The following is a 24,162-nucleotide window of genomic DNA, read 5'->3' on the forward strand; positions in this document are numbered from 1 at the left end:
ATGAAAAACCCTTCAAAAAATCAATGAATCCAGGAGCTGGTTTTCTTAAAAGATCAACAAAATAGACTGCTAGTGAGACTAATAAAGAAGAAAAGAGAGAAGAATCAAATAGATGCAATAAAAAATGATATAGGTGATATCACCACGGATCCCACAGAAATACAAACTTCCATTAGAGAATACTATAAACACCTCTATGCAAATGAACTAGAAAATCTAGAAGAAATGAATAAATTCCTGGACACATACACCCTCCCAAGTCTAAGCCAGGAAGAAGTAGAATCCCTGAATAAACCAATAACAAGTTTTGAGATTGAGGCAGTAATTAATAGCCTACCAACCAAAAAAAGTCCAGGACCAGATGGATTCACAGCTGAATTCTACCAGAGGTACAAAGAGGAGCTGGTACCATTCCTTCTGAAACTATTCCAAAAAATAGAACAAGAAGGAATCCTCCCTAACTAATTTTATGAGGCCAGCATCATCCTGATACCAAAACCTGGCAGAGACACAGCAAAAAAAAGAAAACTTCAAGCCAATATCCCTGATGAACATCGATGAGAAAATCCTCAATAAAATACTGGCAAACTGAATCCAGCAGCACATCAAAAAGCTTATCCACCATGATAAAAAAATTAAATTTTTAAAATTTAGAGATGGGGCTTGCTTTGTCACCTAGGCTGGAGTACAGTGGCACTTGGAACAGTGCTAGGAACACACAAGGTATTCGATGACTATCTTTTAATCAATGATTAAATCATAATCTTCTATGTTGGACACCAAGCATGTGTATGCATTTCTACATGTGTAAGGAATAATAAAAGGAGTGAAGTTTATTGTTTGTTTATTTTTGTTGTTATTTTTATCACATATATATGTTAAAACTGAAATGGCCTATTGTTCATTGATGTGTTATGACTTCTATGAAAGAAAAGGTGCCCTACTTCAAAAAACAAGGCAAAAAAAAAATTCCCAAAAGTAGCATAAGATGTTATAATACCAAACATGCACATTTAATTTTAAGTATTGGAAACAAGAATATTTTGTAAGTTTTTTTGAGGTATACACCAGCTATTGTTTACATGAGACTTATTCAGATTGGTATGAAATGTTCCTAATTCAAATTTCAACCAGGATCACACTTAATTTTATAATCATGTGTCGGAATGCTTAAAGTAATGAGCTTCTGAAGGCTTACAGCCTTACACCCCATTGGCCATGTCTTAATGACAACACAATGAGACTTAATGTTTCTTTTCATGAAACATCCATCTGAGAGCAACAATTTTGTTGAAAGCTTTAAATTAATTTATGCCATTCATTATTTTTTTTTCTGAAAGTTTAGTCCCTTTGTGCCAAGCATGTCGTCTTTAGTTGACTGTAGCATGTTGTTTTCATGTAAGCTTTTATTTTCTCATTCAATGTCCTATGCACTTAGTATTTTCCATCATTTCCTTGTTCTGTCCCTTCTGATTCTGGACATTATTTCTAAGCAGATACATGAAACATATCACTCACAGAATTCTTGGTATTAACCATATCATGGGTTACATAGCAAGAAAGGTCAAGGAGATTAGGAACAAATTAAAGTTTAAAAAACTTAGATTGTAAACTCCATAAATACATAAAACTGAAAATTAACCTGTAACTAAGTAATAAGGAAGCTTAATTAATAGGATTTTTATTAGATTTGCTTTCTTGGATTTAATATTTGATAGGAAAAGTAAATTAAGCATTTATATTTACTACTTGTATACTCCTGTATATCCATAATCACACAATAAAAATTGTGCTTATATTGTCTTTTGTCATTTAAATTCTCATTTTTCAAAACATACAATTTTACCAAGTTCTTAAAAATGTCCAATAGTAGGAATTTATATTCCAATGGCTGAGATTATTTTAATAATTTTCTCTGTATCTTTATAATAAACCTTTATCACCCAAATTAATCCAAGTGTGGCTTTGTTTCTTACAGTCCAAATCTAACTAATAAAAATGCAATCTGGTTTTATTTCATTTTAACAGACACCATTTTATTTTTTTACAAAAATAGGTTCTTATATAATACTGAATTTTTAAAAATCAAGTAAAAATACCCATTCTCCAAGCATATAGGTTGATAGAATTTTAACTATGTTATGTTTATAGAGTACTTGCTTAGTAAATTACATAATAATTTTAATACAAGACAATTATATGCTACTGCCTTAAAATGTCCATACCAAGTAACAATGGATATATTTACATCATGGACAATGTCTAGTACATTCCCTGGATCCAATACATATATTTTAAAATAGTTGAATATGCTATAATATTTTGACCAATCATACAGTTATGACTCAATCAAAAAGCATCTGAGGAGTATAATGACTGGGTTATTTTCATATTACAGAAGGAAAAACACATGAGATACACAGTATCTCAGATTGTCCTCTTATCAGCTAAATGGCCCTGTATAATAGGAAAAACAGGAGAGAATATAATTCTCAAAAATATGAGGAGAGCTGGCTGCAGTTGCATGTGCCTATGATCTCAGCTACTCTGAAAGCTGAGGTGGAAGAATCACTTCAGCCCAGGAGTTTGAGGCTGCAGTGCACTGTGACCGTGCCTGTGAGCCTGGGAATGGCCACTGTGCTCCAGCCTGGGCAACAAAGTGAGACCCTGTCTCCAAAAGAAAAAAAAAAAAAGAAACTGAGACTCAAATATCATTGAGGATTGTTTCTTTTGAACACTTTATATCTATATTCAATTTTTTAAAAATTTATTTTCTGAGATGACTGTCGAGTTACATCAAGTTTTGAGTCGTCATTTTTAGAGTCTTGTTAACAGAATTGATTGACCATTTTAGCCCAAACAGTTGAACCATGATTGCTTGTAGATGGCGTTTTTACCTATTTATTCTTGCCCAGAAGAGTGCTCTGCACCATGTGGTCCCAACAATGCTTCTAATCATTGTATTTCTAAATGCTGTGACAAGAATGAACAAGAGCTGTTATGTTCATGCAATAGAGTATTATCCTACCATAAAAAAGAAATAAAATAGTGATACATGCTGCAACAAGGATGAACTTTAAAAACATTATGCTAAGTGAAACAAGCCATACACAAAAGGCCATGTATTACATGAGTTCATTCAAATGAAATGTTCAGAAATAGATAGATCAGTGGTTACCAATGGGTAAGGGAAGGATGGGAGGGAATGGGGAATGACTGGAAATGCATATGAGGTTTCTTTTTAGGGTGATGACATATTTTGGACTTAGATAGTCGTGATGTTTATGTAACTCTGTGAATATACAAAGACCCAATGAATTGTACATTAAAAAAATGTGGCATCTGCATTATACCTCAATAAAAGTGTTATAAAAGTTACTTAGAGCTATGTTTTCATTTCTTGACTATTAAGCATTGATTGATTCAATATGTGTCTCTTTTTTGCAATTTATTAATAATGTATTTTTTTGTGACAATCATAGTATTAAAGTTGTTTGAATTGGAAACCCTTTAATCAGGCTATAATTGAAATAGTACTCTAGGAATAATGCTGGTGACAGTTTTGAGTTAAGATAATCTGTTTCAATAAATGTTATTGAAGATGTGATGTATGGCAAATAATTTATTTATGTGAATGAGCAAAATAAAATAGAAGCGCTATACTTAAGTAAACATAGGAAGAGTTTTTTTACTATTATTATACTTTAAGTTCTGGGATACACGTGCAGAACGTGCAGGTTTGTTACATAGGTATACAAGTGCCATGATGGTTTGCTGCACCCATCAACCTGTCATCTACATTAGGTATTTCTCCTAATGCTATCCCTCCCCCGGCCCCCTACCCCCTGACAGGCCCCGGTGTGTGATGTTCCCCTCCCTGTGTCCATGTGTTCTCATTGTTAAACTCCCACCTATGAGTGAGAACATGCCGTGTTTGGTTTTCTGTTCCTGTGTTAGTTTGCTGAGAATGATGGTTTCCAGCTTCATCCATGTCCCTGTAATGGACATTAACTCATCCTTTCTATGGCTGCATAGTATTCCATGGTGTATATGTGCCACATTTTCTTTATCCAGTCTATCATCGACGGGCATTTAGGTTGGTTCCAAGTCTTTGCTATTGTGAACAGTGCTGCAATAAACATATGTGTGCATGTGTCTTTATAGTAGAATGATTTATAATCCTTTGGGTATATAACCAGTGATGGGATGGCTATGTCAAATGGTATTTCTGGTTCTAGATCCTTGAGGAATTGCCCCACTTTCTTCCACAATGGTTGAACTAATTTACACTCCCACCAACAGTGTAAAAGCATTCCTATTTCTCCACATCCTCTCCAGCATCTGTTGTTTCCTAACTTTTTAATGATCACCATTCTAACTGGCATGAAATGGTATCTCATTGTGGTTTTGATTTGCATTTCTCTAATGACCAATGATGAGCTTTTTTTCATATGTTTGTTGGCTGCATAAATGTCTTCCTTTGAGAAATGTCTGTTCATATCCATTGCCCACTTTTTGAAGGGGTTGTTTATTTCTTGGAAATTTGTTTAAGTTCCTCGTAGATTCTGGATATTAGCCCACTGTCAGATGGATAGATTGCCAAAATTTTCTCAACATGTAAAGAGTTTTAATAGGCCAATGTATGCCATGGCGGAACTTAGTTTGTGTTTCCTGTCTTCGGGAATACCAACTTTACACTCTGCAACTGGGTCTATTGAAGAATACTCATAATTACAAGAATAGATTAGCACAGAGAACGGGCAACCCCTGACATTTGCTGCTAGTTCCATAAGTTTTAAACCAATTCCATTTTATTTTGGTGACACAACTGATAAATAAAGTCCTCCTAAATGGACATTTTATCCCTCTTACAGCTACCCTCGTGGTTGAACTATTTATAAACTATTCCTTTACATGCAAGTGGTTGCATCTTACTATTAATAATTATGTTGTTTATTATTTAGTGTACTTTAGGGTTTTCCCCCTTTCCCAAATGAAACCATTTTTCAATCAATTTGTCTTAGATAGGAGAAGTAAACTTTTTCCTATTTTATACAGTTCCTTTCTAGGTAGCTTCCAAACGAATGCCATTCTTACAGTCTTCTTAAAGTTTTCTTACACACAGATTGCATGCTATCTTTATACTATTTCTGTATGAGATTTCTCTTATCTTGGCCACAGCTAATGAAACCAGGAGTGGTTATGTAAACCAAACTAAGTCAACTTATAAAGTGGCTAAAAGATTGAGAGGTAGCCCAGATGCAAAACTCTGCCCAATAGAGGGAGGCTATATTGGAATGTGGCCAAAGCAATTAAATTCTTGTTTTTGGAGGGTCTGACTAGGGGATCTACTGAGGAGGTTAGCATTTGGTGGTGAGAGAAGAAGCTGAAAGTGATTGTAGAGAAACTACAAGTCAGGTGAAGACTTTCTCCTACTCCTCTCAGTAGTTGTAGAGTAGGAAGTAGTGTATGCTTGCTCTCAGGGTCTAATCAGGTAGTTAATTATTGCTAGTGTTTTGGTGTATATTTTAAATGACTTTCCAGTATCTAGAAATACTGGCTTTCCCATGCTTCAATCACTATTATTTACACAAATACTTATCAAGTGCCTACAGGCCAAGTGCATATTCCAAATCAGGATACATTAATGAACAGTAGTGCACTCACCTTCCTGGAGTTTATATCCCAATGGCCAAGATTATTTTCATCATTTTTTCTGTATCTTAATAATTAACTTGTATTACCTGAATTAATCCAAGTGAGCATTTGTTCCTTGTAGTCTGAGTTTAACAAATAAAAATGTGATTTGTTTATTTCATTTTAACAGGCAGTCTTATATGTGTGTCTTTTACAAATATTGATTCATTGAAGTTTCATGACAATTTTTAAAAGTATCCACATTTTAATAAGGGGAAATAAAGGCAAAAAGAGGTTTAAAAATTGCCTAAAGTAGATGCTGCTAGTAGTACCACCTATTACTAGCAGATGGTGCAAACAGCTTTTTAATTTAGGTAGTTTGGCTCCAACAGTCTCTTAATCACTTTTCTATGCTACCTTTTAAAACAATTTTGGTAGAATTCCCTTTGTGTTCTCAGTAATTACATTTATATGGATATGATTTTATAATCCAATACTCATCTTTTGTCTCCTAATTTCATTTTTCTTGAGGATAGGTGTCCTATTCAGTCTTGAATACACATCATCACAACTATCTACAGCTAGAGGACTACAAATACTATAGGATGATGAGGTGACAATATTATTGGTTACCTTGTCACCAGTTACATCAACAGGTACTAACTGTTCTTTGAAATCTTTCTAGAACCATCAATCACTGTAGAAGCACATATTATTGTATACAGTGACATCATCATGAATCGCAGTGATTTCCAAAGGGATATGTGCAATATTAACATATCTTTTATATGCCATAAGTTCTGAATCATAGGGGTGAATTGACATAATACAGTTAGCCTCCAGATACTACAGTAATTCTTCTGCAAGATGACTTACGTTGTTATATAATATCACTGAGAAAGTTTTCAATGTCATTCTCACCTTTGCTATGTGTAAATCTCTATTGGTTTGGATACACTTTTTTTTTTTTCATTTTCTTTAGGTTGTTTTACTACGTAAAATTGTGTGAAAAGGTTGAAAACGTGGATACTTGAAACCCGTATGCAACATCTGGTTGACCTCATTCTGCCTCCTCAATGTATAAAAGTGTGATAAACACCATATACAAAGTATTATATTCACACTCATTACTGACAAGCATATTTTGAATATGATTTACCTTCCCATTTTTGTTTCAATGATTGAATCTTGATGTAATTTGCCAAGATCCCAGAATCTACCGCAGATGTTTTTGATATTTACCCACTAGCCCCACTGGGACAATGATTGTTAAAATTCAAAGTTGCACATATTCTATTGTAATTCATTGGTGTAAAAGGATTAAAATGTTCAAAATGTTTCAGGTGGCTTTCAAAGTTATCCCCTGAAGTGTGAACTCGTTACCAAGGAAACACATTGCAAATGTTAGTAAATCTTTCACTGACTTGCTTTTTACACGTCCCCATGGTTGGCGTGTATGCTGAGCCCATTTAGCACAGTGCTGCTGGCAGCTTCCATTCCTGTTATGTTTATAAATACATCCGAGCCTCACAAAAAAACTAGGCAGAATTGCTTGGAGAAAATTCTTCTGGTTTTCTTTGGAGTGAGAGAGCAAAAAATCAGAGGATCACATTGATTCGAAATGGCTTCGCCAGGTTAAAAAATCTGGCGTGATAGAGTTGGAGGGAATTTGGGGGAACACCAAACAGTAAAACAAACTCAGCAATTGTCATGACAATAATATTTAGACTAAATCATAATACATCATCTGGATTGATAATAATATTTAGACTAAATCATAATAAATCATCTGGATAATTGCAAATTTGAGTGGTGATAATTTTGGGAACATGTGATTAACGTATTAGAGATCAGAGTAAAAATTTGCCTTGTAATAATAACACTTTCTGGGACAAATAAAAGACCATTTTGTATTTTTAAATAATCTTTTTAACCACATGAAATGTACTATAAAAAAATTGTGGTTATATTGTCATTCAGATTCTTTTTTACTCTCAACTTTCCGACTTCAAGGCATGTGTAAGTCCATAAATTCTCAATGTGAGAGGTGTGGTGCACTGCAATGCATTATTGTATCTGTTTTGAAAGGTAATATAACTCCCTGTAATGTGGAAGGACACAGGCACAAGACAAATAAGCCATAAATAGAATTGATACTTATATCCAGTCAGAATAGTTATATTTAATTTTCTTAAGAAAATGATTAAATAATCTAGGCTACAGTCACCCTGACAATCCATTGTATGTCTCAATTTCCACTATAACCAACATTTGATAACTGGCTATATTTCATTGATTCATTTATTAGACGACCACATACTACTGATTACTTACTAGACAAGTGCTTGAGGTTTCAAAAATAAATAATAAATGGTCCTTACTCTAGGGATTGCAGTTTTAGTGGTGGCATGTATATACAGCAATTACAGTCATGTGGTATTAGAGACATGAATTAGAATGTGTGTAAGTCTTCTGTTGATCTTGATCCTCATTACTAAACTTTAACTCACCCCATTAATGGAAAGACTGTAAAAACTATCCATCTTGTTGTATGAGGAACAGCTTACTCATGGTTTCAAGCATGGAGTCACATTCACTATGACTGGGTAAAGGTCTCGGTGACTAAATCAGGTTAATACTAGGCGAGAGGCTATGACTTCCAGCATTTCTAAGAAAGGAAAATGCATACCATTTTGGCCTCAAGCACTCTGTTTTTTGTTTTTGTTTTTGTTTATTCCTCACTAGAGATGACTATAGAAAACTAACATGACTTCTAGGTAACTGGACTACTATGAATCCACCCCCAAGGTTTAGAATGCTTTTCAATGCCCCGATTGTGTAATTTAATGTGGTATTGTTCTTCCCCTCACAGGTGTCCCTCTGGCTCTACTGAACATACTGAGCAGGGACCTTGAACCTAATTAATCTCCTAAATTTTAAAACCTGTGATGACCTAGGGCAAGCATAAATTTGGAAGAAGCAAAGACAATATATTTATCTTGAAATATTTCAATTAAACTTCTGACTTGTTGACTTTATTGTAAGAGTTTGTTTTTATTTATTTATTTTTTTGAGACAGAGTCTCACTTCATCTCCCAGGCTGGAGTGTGGTGGTGCAATCTTGGCTCACTGCAACCTCCGCCTCCTGGGTTCAAGGGTTCAAGTGATTCTTGTGCCTCAGGCTCCCAAGTAGCTGGGACTACAGGACTGTGCCACCACACCCAGCTAATTTTTGTATTTTTTGTAGAGACAAGGTTTCACCATGTTGGCCAGGCTGGTCTTGAGCTTCTGACCTCAAGTGGTCCACCCGCTTCTGCCTCTCAAAGTGCTGGGATTACAGGTGTGAGTCACTGTGCCTGGTCTATTGCAATAGTTTCTAACTTGTCAGAAAGAGTGACACAAAAATTATTTTATTCATTGAAAACCCTTCTGATTGTTTCAACCATGACTATCATTTGATTTATGTGTTTGTTTTTCAGGTTTTGAAAATGACTGCCAAAAAGTTTATAAGCTGCAACATTTTAAGTAAATTTTATTATTAATGAATACACAGAAATTGAAAGTAAACTCATGGCTTCAACCTTTATACCAAACCTCCAGTAAGCAATAAAAATATCATAAATTTATTAAACAATAAACATGTACTTAGGAAAAAACAAAGGAGAATAATGAAGAACAAAGAGGCACCCAAATTAACTTTTTAAAAATTGTTACGTATTTATTTATGTATTATATTTATTTAATTAGAGACGGGGTTTTGCCATGTTGCCCAAGGTGCTCTTGAACTCCAGGGCTCACTCCATCCGCCTGCCTCAGCCTTTCTAAGTGTTAAGATTACAGGCGTGAGCCACTGTGCTGGCCAAATTAACTTTTAAAGGTTAGCCTAGTTCAAATAATTTCATGTTCCCTTTCTTTTTCCAAAATGTGCTTTTCTGTATTACAATTCTAGAAGATTAGCATGGTTTTTAGGGATGCCAATTCCTATGTTTTTAGATTATTCTGAAATTGGAGGGTCATATTATTTATATTTTGTATTCCTAAATTATAATTTTACCATGTGCCTAAGATGTTGATTTACAGTATATTTTATTTTTCTTCAGAAAGACATAAAGGAGAGATGAATCAAGGAATCTTATCCAAATGCTTTTCAAAATTAGTTTCATGCATGAGATAAAAGTTTTTAATGTCTAATTGAAATATTTATATTTTCACTATTAAGTAGAAATTGATATTAAGAATGAAATTTAGCCATATGTTGAAAGCCAGAAAGTAACAGTCAAAGAACACACCTAAATTAACAAATATTTGCTTTGTGGTTTAAACATTGCAATTAAGACACTATTGTTACTTTGAAGGTATAGATTTTAAGTCACACGTTGAAATAAGGCAAAGAACATGACATATAATTGTAACTAAAACGTGGCCATCTTGACAACATATTTTGATATTCCATAGATTCTATCTCTTATATATGTGATACCATGGTGCTAAATCTTTATACTATTAATGGCTGGTTAACTCAATCAAATAAACCAGTTGTTTTAGTATTTTAAGGTAGAGGTTTCTTATATGCTATAATAATGGAGAACTAAGCGAGAATTCTCTTTGTCTCTTCATCTTCTTTTTGCATGTAAAGTTGTGTCTACATTTAGCATATCCAACATTTTGGCATTCAGTCAACTGTGTGGAAGAGTACATTGACTTCAAATGAAGCACAGAGAAGTGGAACAGGAACTTCATGTTAGGGATCTAAATGCTAATGAGACCCTTGCACATGCTTTCTTGACTTCGAAATTAATATACATACTCATCAGTACCCTGTCTTTCTATTTCTTAAATTAGCTCAAGAGAGCAGCATGGTTTCCAGCGATGGTTAAACATTTCCACCAAGAAGCCTTAGTGAAATTGGAAAGTAATTGGAAGACAAAACAGGTATCTATGGCATATTCTCTTCTGTAACACTGAATTTTTTTTCTGTTTCTGTTTCAGATTTTATACTCATTCTAATTTTACATTTTTAGTATGTATTTCTTTCAAACTTTATAGTAAAATTGTCTCCACAGGAAGATATTAGCATTTATCTCACAGTTGCTAAACCCTCTTACTACAATTTGAAGATCAAGAACAGAGACTGATGGAGAGTATAGTTCTGGCTTCAACAGTGACTAGCATCAGTAGCCTCGAACAAAATTGCCTTATATCCTTAGGCTCCATTTCATTGCTTGTAAATAAGGGTTTTGAGAAAGTTCTGCCACAAAACTGTTTAATGAAGCTGTTAAAGTATAAGGTTTATATTGACTTGTTGTATTAAAAAGATTTAAAACACCCTTTTATGCCAAAATCTTGCCCCCAATCATTAATGAAATTAGCCTCATGGTTTTTTTTGAATGACATCTACAATTCCGAAACCAATGAGAGGGAGCCCTCTTGTGGTTTAGGCATAGAGTGGCTTATGTTCTAGCTGCATTTATAAGATACAAGAATGTATAATCTTTGAAAAATGTAACAACCTTAGATACCTACTGAATATGATCTAAAATTTATAGGAAATTTAAAAATTACAATTTTGGATATGTATACTTGTTCTTTAAATAATTCAGGGGAGTTTTTGAAACTAAAAGTATGCAGCACATAGTATGTTGCTGTCTGTAATTATATTCTTATTTAGTAAAAACCTTTCAGTATATACTTGGTTAGTAGTTATAATGATCAGTAAAGACACCAAAGTGGTTCAGGTCACCTCACTTAGGAAGTAGAGGACAAAATAATGACATTAAAATAGATAACTGCACATTAAATACCTTTTATACTCTTTAACTGTATTTCTGAGTGATAAGCATCAAACATTTTGATCACTTAGGGATTTACCATGCTTATAACAGCAGGTGAACTTGCTATATTTTGTTGCTTAAGAATACAATATATAACACATATTAAAAGGTAAAAAATTAAGTAAAAAATTTATGAAGCTAAGGTTAATTATTATTAAAGAAATTTCAAAAATTAAACTTACTGTAGCCTAAGTGTACAGCCTTTAAAAACTCTACAGTAGTGTGGCTGGGCATGGTGGCTCATGCCTGTAATCCTAGCATGTTAGGAGGCCAAAGCAGATGGATCACCTGAGGTCAGGAGTTCAAGACCAGCCTGCCCAATGTGGTGAAATCCCATCTCTACTAAAAAATACAAAAGTTAGCTGGGCATGGTCGTGGGCGCCTGTAATCTCAGGTACTCAGGAGGCTGAGGCAAGGAGAATTGCTTGAACCCGGGAGGCAGAGGTTGCAGTGATCTGAGATCACGCCACTGTACTCTAGCCTGGGCTACAAAGCGAGACTCCATCTCAAAAAAAAAAAAAAAAAAAAAAAGGTCAACAGTAGTGTAATAATATCCTAGGACTTCATACTCACTCACCACTTACTCAGGGCAACTTCCAGTCTGCAGGCTCCTTTCAAGTTAAATGCCCTATATAGGTGTACTGCATTTTACCTTTTATTCTATATTTTTATTGTACCTTTTCTATGCTTACATATGTTTAGAAACACAAATACTTACCATCGTATTACAGTTGTCTGCACTATTCAGTATAGTAACATGCTGTACAGGTTTGTAGCCTAGAAGCAACAGACTATCCCATATACTCTAGCCTAGATGTAGTGGTCTATCCCATGTAGGTATATAGAAATACACCCTATGGTGTTTACACAATGACAAATCATCTAATGACACATTTCTTAGAACATATTCCTGTCATTAAGCAACTCATGACTTATACTAGCACATTAATATTACTTTTTAAAGTTTCTTTTCAGAAATGAAATTATATTATCCATTAGGTGAATAAGGCATATGAACATAATTTCCCTAGTTGTATATTTGGTGACTTGAAATTTCATCTTTTTTCATTTACCCCAGCATTTTCATTAATGTTCACAGATAATATAAAAAGATATTTCAAATATAACCAATTCGCAACAGTAAATGGATTCTAATATATTTGATTTAAAGTAAATTGCAAATAACATAACATGTTCATTTGTTTCTCATATTCTTTTTCATTCAAGAAGGAAAAAACACAAATTAATCACCTAAGTTGGAAGGATATTTCAATCCACTATATGCAATGCATCAATATAAGTTCCATCACTTTAGAAAAGACTGATTCTTGCTTAGAGATTATTGATTACCCAGGAGAATTACTAACCTAAAGTGAAAATAAAAGAAAACTCTTGTCTATGACACACGGTTCCTGCAGATTATTTCCTGTTTTGCTTTGCTCCTGAAAGTGGAGGAAGCTTTTCTGTTTGTTACCCATTGAAGTTTTCATGGCCTAATAATGTGGCGACTCAAAAAATTTGCTGATGATAAAGAGGAGAACAAAGGAAGCACCCAGCTTCAATTCTGGTATTTATCAAATAAAATGTGATAGAGTAAAGCAGTGTTTCTTAGAAAGGATCTAATAATTTATTATCAATCTTCTTTAACTTTCTGGCAATTAAAAATAAATTTGTGCTTTTGGATTTTCTATTATCTGTCAAATAATTTGGCAATTTTAATAAATTTATTGTTTTTGATTTATATTTCATTCCAATTTTCTTTGATTAGCCACTTAGGAAATTCAATGTTATACCTGTAAGCTTGATCTTCCACAGAATAAGTATTTCAAACAAGGTCAATCTGTAGGAATTTGCTTTTTGGGGAGGGAGAAGTCATTTAAATAAGACTCTATAAACATACTTATTTCTGTAACAGATCATTTAGAAGAGTTATTTTTTTCCCCCAGAAAGAAAAGGAACCTGACATCAAAATAGAGATTTTGTAACGGCTTAAGAACAGAGACCAGTTTGGAAGATCAAGAGCCATTAGGTTACAGAACTGTGAGTGAATGTCACATGCATTTTAACTAGTATTCCTTCATTGTTTGAAGAACAAGTGTTCAGACAATTCATTCCTCATGTCACAGAATGGGCTATAGATGATGATAGGATTCTCTCCTGGACCACGCTCTGGTCATACTCCTCTGAGATCCCTTTTTGATTAGGCCCCAACTTGGGTTCTGTTCTTGGCCTAGTTAGTTCAATTAGGCAAGAATTCTGCTGGTTCAGTTTAACGAAAATCCCTTATCTTTGATATCTAATCAAATTTCTTATCCCCCCCACATTCAGTATCTTATCACCCTGGCTGCATTCAGCAAGAATTTTGCTAAGTCAGTTTAGCCAGAATCCCTTCGAGGTTTCCTCTCTAGTAATTTTCCACCCACTGACCATCACTTATCCAAAATCCCCACTTATCCTGGTATTCAGAATGCAGCCCCGTTCTATACTGAGGTCTCTCTGTCCCCAGTGCAATAGTTCCTGAATAAAATTTGCCTTCACTGCTTTAACTTATGTCCAGCTCTGCTTTTCTTTCACAGTGCCAGCTTCTGTTCACAACCCAGCTTCCAGTTAACAGTTTGCCCAAGTGAATTTTTAAATACTGTCAGAGCAGTACAATGTTGGATAAAGAGCATCAACAGAGATAACCTGATAAGACAACACATGGGGTCAAATATACAAATATAAAGAAACATAAAAACAAACTAAATATTTATAGTATAGTTCAGTAAATATGGTCTAATTCAATTTAGGATTCCAATGAATGCGTATTTAAAAATGCAAATTACACAAAATTACAAAGAAGGAATATATTTAGAAAATCAGTTTATCAAGGCAGAAAGCAACTGTCAGCAAGAGTATATTGAAATAAACTATGTAAAGAAAAATAACCAATGTAGTGATATGGAAAATGATGAATATCATGAGAGTAATGAAAGTATTTTAAACCATAGTAGTATAAATTGACTTAATTAATCACAGTTTACCAATAAGCTTCTTTCCATTCTTAGTGTGGTCACATTACATTTATTCCTATACATTTTGTTTAGGGATCCATTACCTATAGATATCGCTAACACTTGTACTTACAGATGACCTGGACTGATTCTATGGCAGTATTTCAGTACAGAGTTTTTGCTGATGTCATGATATGAACCACATAAGCAATTAGTGAAGGCCAGCTTACTGAAGAAAATCATCATGCTGATTTAGCAAGGAATTTTCAATCTAAGTTTTTTTCCTGAACTTTGTGCCAGTCAATATATAAAAGTGTCAAACACTATTACATATAAATTATAGGTACTTTAAAAATGATAGACTAATTATCACACACCAAATAGTAATATTTTCTTAAATTTCTTGGCCGGGCGTATTTTTGGAGGCCAAGTATTTTTGGAGGCCGAGGGGGGGCGGATCATGAGGTCAGGAGATCGAGACCATCCTGGCTAACACGGTGAAACCCCATCTCTACCAAAAATACAAAAAATTAGCCGGGCATGGTGGCGGGCACTTGTAGCCCCAGCTACTTGGGAGGCTGAGGCAGGAGAATTGCTTGAACCCGGGAAGCGGAGGTTGCAGTGAGCTGAGATCGCACTACTACACTCCAGCCTGGGTGACAGAGCGAGACTCCGTCTCAAAAAAAAAAACAATTCCTATTTGTTTACTACTATTCTATCACTAAACTCCAGTCTAACTCTGTGGAGGAAAAAAGAAAGATGAAATTATAGGTTTAAAAAAACATCAGTATTCCATTTTGAAATAGTCTCTATGGGTAAGTCAAGTGAAAGTGGTTTATTCAATAAACAGATTTTAAGAAGTCTTTCAAACAAACAAAAACTACAAATACACTAATGCCAAATCATTTTTCTAGTTAGTAATACTTCTTCTCTCATTCTATCCTTAGTAGAAAAGTTCCATTCACCATCCTTCTCATTGTGCTTTTCCTATAATGAAATGCATATATTAAGACTTCTCTGAATGATATATCACTGACTTTGTAATCCTAGATGTAATAGTTTCCATGAGAACAGGAATGTAGCATGACTTTTGTCAGGAAGACAACATGATTCTTTGGTAAAATCTGGTCTTTAAAAAAATTAGACAAAAGAGGTATCCATATTCTTGAAAAGTGTTCATTTTTATTGTTTCGGATCAAATTATCTATAGTTACATGTTAAATACTTTATACTGTTCACAGGTTAATGACTCTGATAGAGAGTCTGTTAGTTGCAAAATTGAACTAAATATAATATAATGAAAAACAAGTTGATGAAATCGTGCATAAATTTTTAAATATGTTTTCAGTATAATTTCCTGGAAAAATATGACAGCATCTGGACAAGGAAGACAGACTTAGACATAAGACTCAAGAAGACAGAAAAATAATTTACACCATAAAAACCATAAAATAGCAATACTTCTTTTGGTAGTCCTTTAAACAACTTGACTCACTAATAATGAAGTCACTGTATATCATATAAAGATGGTACATGGAAAATATATGGCACATTTTCTTTTTGTTTTGTTTTTCATAGCATATCATATTATATCTGTAGAATGTCAGGGTACTTCACTCTATTTCCCCCCCCATATTATCATTTATCATACATTAAAATACAAATTTAAGTAATGACCATTGAATAATTCATAGAGAAAAAAGTGAAGAAGTGCAAAATTATTCAAGCATATTCAAGTACAATTTTACATCTGAATCCTTTCCTGCCATTTAAGTCACAGCTCCCTAGTATTAACCACCCAGGCTGGATACTGTGTATGTGAGCGGGGTTGCCCAAAGGCGCCATTGCTAAAACCACCCCAGAGTAAAAGCAGCTATTAAAATAAAACAACTTAATCCCCTGTACTTTTGTTATAGCTTTACTCTAAAAACACACAATATGGTTAATATGGTTTGCTGCTAGTTTTTTTAAATTCATATTACTTTGTAGAGTTTTATATAATATCTTCATATCTGAAATAAATTTAAAAATATTTAATTTAAATTTATTGCTGTTATAGGAAGACATTAACAGTTACTGAAAATAATATACATAGAAATTTTCATCAATTTCTATTTATCTATGTAGATAATTAATTTTATATTTCATTATTTTATAAGCCTGAAAATATCTCATCATTGTTTAACACTTACAATGCTCTCATGAATGGTTTAAATAAGAATAAAGCTAGTGATAAGGGGTTGATTGAACTTAAACACAGACAGCAGAAATGTGAAAATATATGCTAGTTGTCTTATAGGAGGGGAATAAACTTACTTGGTATTTTAGGAAGTAAAAGTCATTTCTTGATGAAGATTAACATTTTTATCATCTAGAGTTATGTCACAATGGAACAGAAGACTGCCCTCAGAGTAATGAGCTACCTGTTGCTATCTGGGTGCTCGAAGAATGTGGATAATGTAATGGTGAAGATTCTGACATTGGGAGGAAAGCTGAATTGAAACGCATCAAAGATTTATTTTAAATTCTTTTTTTGTCTGTCTGTTTGTTTGTGAGACAGAGTCTCACTCTGTCACCCAGTTTGGAGTGCAGTGGTGCGATCTTGGCTCACTGCAACCTCCATCTCCTGGGCTCAAGCCATTCTTCCACCTCAGCCTCCCTTGAGTAACTGGGATTACAGGCACCTGCCATCATGCCTGGCTAATTTTTGTATTTTTAGTAGAGACAGGGTTTTATCATATTGGCCAGGCTGGTGTCTTAACTCCTGACCTCAAGTGATTTGACTGCCTCGGCCTCCCAAAGTGCTGGGATTACAGGCGTGAGCCACCTGGCCGGGCCTATTTTTAATTCTAAGAATATAAATGAGAGACAACTAAAATTAGTTGCTTGAAGAAAGAAAAAATGATAAAACTTAAAAAGTGTTAAATTGATCCTTATTAAGAGAATAAGCTTGTGTAAGTTCACACGAATTCTCTCACTTCTGGAATTTTTTCAATCATCCAGAATTTCAGATCTTATTCCAAAAATACTAAATTTAGCACTTGGGACAGTGCCAGGCACACATAAGGTACTCAATGAATATTTGTTTAATCAATGATTAAATCATAATCTTCTATGTTGGACACCAAGCATATGTATGTATTTTTAAAATGTGTAAGGAATTCCAACACATAGCCAGGGTTCAAAATCACTTTTTAAAAATAATACTCCATCACCTTAAATGTCTCCTCTTTGTTTATGTGTTAACCACAAAAACTACTGAGAAAACCACCTGTTCAGACACTACAAAGTCATCCAATATTACTAGCTGTCTTTTGAAAAAGGTTTTTGACAGTTATTTAGCTGTTCTTCAAAAACGGTTCAAATAGTGTTTTAGAATTCGATTGTTAAGGGTTAAAGACTTGATCCAGTTAGCTTTGTTTATGTGTTTTTGAGGCAAAAGATTGTTGCATGATTAAGAGCTGGCCAAATCGAATGACTGCATGGTTCATATTTTCCACCAGGAATCACTTAATATTGCAAAACATATCACAGGATTATGAACCTTTGTCTAGAAAAATTGACTGTCTTTGTATTTTTAATCTAAAGGAATTCATCTCATTACCAATATGTGTATGTGTGTGTGTGTGTGTGTGTGTGTGTGTGTGTGTGTGAAAGAGAGAGAGAGAGAGGGAAAGGGAAGAGATGAAGGCATTATTAAGATGTAAAATGTAGACCAAAAAAACAGGTAAGTGGGTCCTAGCTACTAACTTGGGATTATATCTCTTGTCCTCATATCTGGAAGAAGCTTCCCCAGGATATTTTTCCCTGCCCTAGTTCCGTTTAAATTGTAGAGAGTTATATTTTACACATGGCCTATAAGTATCTTTGTTATGGAAGAATATGCATCACTTTACTTTTGAAGTAATTGGAGTACCAGGTGTCTCCCTATGGAAGTTCACTTTTTAATATCACTATGTTTGTAAAGAGGAATGGGGGCTGAGATAAAAGTTTAATTTTAAAGTTAATTAAATTAATGCAATTTACAGTGTACACTGCTTATTTATCCATGAAAGGTTTATATAACAATAAAAAAAATGCAGTGAGGCTATATTTACCACTGTAGCACACAAATAAGGAAATAAAAACCAATGCATCTGCTGAGGAAGATGTCTCTTATACAGGTACAAGATGCAATGGGTATTATGGGTACTTTATTTGCAAGAGGGAATCTGTGTGAACATTTACACTATTTCTTCTAATATATTGTATTAACACCAGATTGTCTTATATTTGGAATGGCTTGCTTTTCTTTGCTAGTTCAATATTAACTAGATGAAAAATATAGGTCGTATATGCTGATAAATTTTGGGAGTTTATGCTATTATCTATGTTGCAAAGAGTGTGGAATCACTTTTGGAGTAGAAGATATCATGACCTCAAGGATTGTTAATGATATCTGTCTAAGGATCATTAGATACATTTTTGTTCTCAGAGTTTTGTTCTTAGAGTGTTCTAAATTTTTAGGGGACACCTGTGAAAAACAATGCTGTCAGTTTCCTTCTTTTCCATTTACAAAATACTGCAAGTATTTTCCATTTCAATTTTGGCAAGTCTCTTGTATTCTCTCATGTCCATTTCCTGGAATGTGTACTTTATAGATGAAATAAAAATTTAGCTGCCAGTATAATATTCAGTCCTCCCAAGTAACCAGCAGGTTGAAGTATGTTGTGTTGAGAAAAATAGAAAAGCATATTTTAAAAAGTGGAATAAAAAATGTTCAGAAAAAGGGATGTATAGTATGGAAGATACATCTAAATCTTTTTTCAAATATTATAACTACTTAAGTTGCACTGAGTACTAAAGTAGTGAACAGCTTGCTCTCTTCTGTTAGTTAAACATTTAGATTATTCATTTTTTTTTCTAAAATTTCCCTTACCTTCCATGAGATCCTGGGTATTCATAAACTAATACATGAATTCATGTCTTAGGGATATATAAATATACAAGCAATTAAATTCCAAATTAAGATAAAAGTTATTAGAATATATCAACAGAATAAGAATTAATTTTAGAATAAGATGAGCAGTCCGGATGATTCCCTAATATAGCCACTGAGAGTTGGATGGGGTCTCCAGCGCCATGGAGAAACTTTTGGAAGGGTTGGAGAAGTTTTAAACACCCTCAGCTTTCTTGAAAATACAGTGACTCTTGAATCTATTTAAAGTTGTAAAGTAAGTTCTAGAGCCTCATTATGGTTTAAGTTCAATTCTAATGGTTGGGAAAGAAAGAAAAGGTTGGGCACATATATGCTAATGTATAAGATAGCCTATAAATTCATATGCTATGGAATCAAATATTTCAATGATTGACATACAAATAATTCTTTTTAAGAAAATGATATAAACTGCATACATGAAAATCCCATATTTTCTAATGTGGCTATTTTAAAATACTTCAGAATATGCACATTGGAATTCCAATTTGTGTGTTTAGTAGTTAATGTATATGCACACATTTTTAATTTCTTGCCATTAATAATTTTGTGGTTGGTTTAATTTAAAATATTCTGGTTGGACACAGGGCTTATTGAGGCAAATATTATCTCAGGATGCTAACTGCAATGTAATTTTTCAGTTTTAAAAGGTCTATAAGAGTTCGAAGGAGGAGACACATTCCTTTAAACATATTGGATTCAGCCACATGCACCTTGTCACTGTTGCCTTGTGAGTGAAAGCTGTTAAAGTATTTTCTTAGTGCAGTAAGACAGTGACAAATATAATAGGAAAGGAAAACTATGCCTAAGGAAAGTGTAATACTTTTGAGATAGATTTCTAATGTACCAACGTCCTTGTTGACAATATTGTCTCATGTTTGGTATTTTCACTTTCTAAGTTTCTGATTTAACAAAGACACATTTATAATATTCTCAAATATGGAAAGAAGTGATGTCTGTGAATTTCTTTTGGAAGTAAGCATGTTTGCATTCATTATATTTCTGTTTGCTCCTGGCAGAATTCACTTAAGCAATGTTGGGAAACTTTTGAAATAAGATGTGGAAAGTATAGAAAAACGTATTCAGGTATTTCAGAGACACATCGAGATGATGTAGTTTATAATTACCTCAAACTCTCCTGCTAATTCTCAAGGAATACAAATGACATATCTTGCTCTAATCTTTAGAACAAGAATATGTTTCCATGGTTTTGTTAAATACACACCAAATGAAGAAGCATATGTTTAATTTTCAGGTGCACAGTCCTCAACGTGGGTACTTACAGAGTAACAAATTCTTTTGGTTGTGTCATTTGCACATAATGCCAAACATGATATTATTTCCTTATAGTGTTGTTTTAAGTTACTTATAAAGGAGGGGAACTTGGTCTTTTACTAGCAAAAACTGCTTAACATTTACTATTTTTTAAAATGTTATTTTAAAAAATTACAATTGTATAAGCTGATGTACAATAACATTGTAAAGGTTTTAGTTTTAAATGGTAGTTTTTGCTTTTAATTTGAAAGTGGTTGAAGGGTAGAAAATAGCATCTTGTTAAAGAACTGGCTTTTCTATTGTACATCTGAGTTCATTGTTTTCTTAATCTTTAAAGTTTTCTCTGTGAATAATTTGGTGGACTGAGTTTGTGCATCTGACCAATAATTAAAATACCTAAAAAGCATTCCAAAGCTTTTCCAAATAAATTTATGGTAAAAATAGTTAAAAAAATAGCAAAACTGAAAAAGAGTCAGAGTCTGGTTCTGTTTACCAAGAACTCTATCATACATTTGCACCCAATTACACTGCAAAAAACAAGTTACTAATGCTCTGTTTTTGTTGAAGTAATCCCATGGGGTCATTGAAAAATTTTATGTAAAAATTTCATTTAAAATTATTCACATCTTGCGAATGGCTTAGATTTTGAAATCATTAATTCAGAAATAGAAAAAGAGTCCTCACTTTATAGAAATGACTTACTTATATCATTTAAAATTAAAACTTTCCCTACTTATATTTGGAGATAGGAGTTGAGACCCATAAAACATTGATGGGAAAATGGTTTTTATTAAAAAATCTTCCATGAATCCATTTTGTTTTCATTGTATTCATTTTTATCAAAATGTAAATACTTTAATCCCATTGAATTTTAAAGTCACATTCTAAACTAAAATATAAAAGTCTTACTGAATTTTGTCCTGTTATATCAAATTATTAAACACAATCACATACAGTTAAGTAGCTATTAAAAGTCTAACAAAAACAAGGGTGCTGGCTTGAATTGTTCAATGTTTGGCAATAACTAAAAATACATAGCTATAATACTTATTTAAAAACAAAGTTGTTTCCCGTATTTCCACCTTCGTTCCTAGAGATACAAAGTTTAAGAAAAGTAGATTGTGACTGTAACACGATCTCTTGTTATTTGTTTTAAATTTGCACAGAGGAAAACTTAATATTCTAAACAATTAAATTTAGTATTCCAAATCATTAAAGTCTTTTAATGCTCTTATTTAAAAATTTTCAAAATTACATATGTTGTTTAAATAGTATTTATATGTACAATCCTCCATTAATATGAGTGAATTTCCCACTGTAACTAATTATTTTCCCATTTTGTAACTATACTATAAGAAAATAGTTTTAAATCTCAAACTATTGGTTTACTGTGCAAAATTTGCTTTTGTATGATTTAATAGCATTGAATTACAAATCAAGGAATTTCAAAGTAGTTTTCATGTCTACTATTATGAGATATTATATAACATATAAACACATTGGCAGTAAAGCTTCCACTTACATGGTTTACTGTGAAAAAACAAATCACCTGGAATTAATATGAAATAGAATCCCCTAATAAATATTTTATATTCATTAAAAGAATCTCATCTTTCTCATGACTTTGCATAGCTAACCAAAATACAAAGCTTTTCCATATGCCATTTTAATACAATGGTCATCATTTGTATACCACACGCACACATATACACATACACACCTATGGCAGAGACACTTTCTTCTGAATTGACCATTTGCATTTGCATGCCCCCAGAGACTTAATCTTGCTGCTGATGAATATCCTCATGCCTAAGAATTTTATAGATAACCCAGTAGAAAATATTAAAAATCAAAAAAGCTAATGGGAAGCAGGCTCGGGAGATGGTATCAATCTTCTTGGCCCGGTCGATAAAGACCTTCCTCATTTCATCAGGACTTTTTGGCATTACCTGGACAGGGTGGTTGGGGCCCTTTGGAGTCATGCCATCCTTTGCTTGTAGACATGGTCCCATTCCATAGGCTGTGAAGCTGAATCGGCTTTCCCTTACCTCATCATCCTGTCAAAGAAAAATGTGACAAGGCCCTTTAATAATACAATAGAGCATGTATAACAGGCATCTCAGAATCATAACCAATTTTATCATGGTTAATATTTACATTAATATAAGGAAAAGATAACCGAAGCATATAAAGATGAATTGGTTTTTATTCCCTATTGAAGTTTTATTAATTTATCTTGCTGCATTGTATAGCTGTGCCCATTAATAAATGTGAAATCCCAAAGGGTATGTTTTAATGGGAAAACTAAATTCTGATATTTTCTACATATTGCTTGAATATCTAAATTAAAAAAAAAACAAGATAAAATCTATTGTGTTATATATGTTCATAAACTAGATTTTTTTTTTTGCATTTTTTTTTAAATGGATAAATGTGTGATGTCGAAGGGGAACATACCAGGATCATTGACTGAATTTTTCTTTCTCATGGAGACAAACCTTTTAAAGTTTTTCTTTCAATTCGAAGTCAATTCCTCAGAAAATACAGTCTAGTTCAATAATACTGTTTGGTTTATGTTATTCTCCCTTTATGCTACTTTTCTGTTTTACACTAACCTTTTTGGAATACTTAGAAGATGGCCATGTATTCTAGTTTATATATGACTATGTTCCAGGCACATTGGTTTGGTTGAAATTGTGAATTATATCTGGCAGAAGTTTATTTCATGTTAAGAACATAAACTTTTCATAAATTTATTACTATGTTCTTCTAAAAAGTATCATTTCTTTTAAATGTGGCAAACTGAAGAGAATTTTCCATGTTTGTAAATGAAGGGAATAAAGAAAAATTTAAATAAAAAATTATTTAATAATATATGATGAAATATACTTGAGAGAAATATAATATTTAATAACAATGCAAATTATTAATAATTTACTTTAACACATTTATTTAGAGTGTAATGGTAGCTGGCTACCAATGAGTAATGGTTTATTTGGCTACTAAATTGAAGGTCTAAAAGATGAGAAGACATTTAATAAAGTTGTTATATCTCTCCTATGATAATGCTTTTTCATAATAATATAAAAGATCAAATAATTGGCTTGAACTCTTGAAAATTATGGGCTGGGCATAGTGGCTCATGCCTGTAACCCCAGCACTTTGGGAGGCTGAGGCAGGTGGATCACAAGGTCAGGAGATCGAGACCATCTTGGACAGTATGCTGAAACACCATCTCTACTAAAAATACAAAAATTAGCTGGGTGTGGTGGCACACGCCTGTAGTCCCAGCTACTCGGGAGGCTGAGGCAGGAGAATCGCTTGATCCCTGGAGGTGGAGATTGTAGTGAGCTGAGATCGCACCACTGCACTCCAGCCCTCCAGCCTGAGCGACAGAGTGAGACTCCGTCTCCAAAAAAAAAAAAAAAAAAGAAAATGATGTTGGTTCTGT

General features: G+C 33.4%; 1 protein-coding gene and 1 long non-coding RNA gene across 8 annotated transcripts in view; one reads left to right on the plus strand and one right to left on the minus strand.

Annotated features, from left to right (window-relative positions):
* Positions 1–1,330: 1,330 nt before the first annotated feature.
* On the plus strand, positions 1,331–14,005 carry LOC105377551 (uncharacterized). The gene is made up of 4 exons (XR_939494.3): positions 1,331–6,293; positions 9,117–9,236; positions 10,480–10,569; positions 13,415–14,005. It is a non-coding gene; the product is annotated as an uncharacterized LOC105377551 (long non-coding RNA).
* A 1,618-nt stretch (positions 14,006–15,623) lies between these two features.
* Positions 15,624–24,162, minus strand: part of GLRA3 (glycine receptor alpha 3) — a 192,328-nt gene continuing 183,789 nt past the window's right edge. For all 7 annotated transcript variants that reach the window (XM_047416196.1, XM_047416195.1, NM_001042543.3 and 4 more), the window contains one exon: positions 15,624–22,768. In XM_047416196.1, coding sequence (XP_047272152.1) covers positions 22,490–22,768 — 279 coding nt within the window. In that variant the 3' untranslated portion in view covers positions 15,624–22,489. The remainder of the gene's footprint in view (positions 22,769–24,162) is intronic.

Source organism: Homo sapiens, chromosome 4 (assembly GCF_000001405.40).
Source record: "Homo sapiens chromosome 4, GRCh38.p14 Primary Assembly".
NCBI classification, from domain to species: Eukaryota; Metazoa; Chordata; class Mammalia; order Primates; family Hominidae; genus Homo; species Homo sapiens.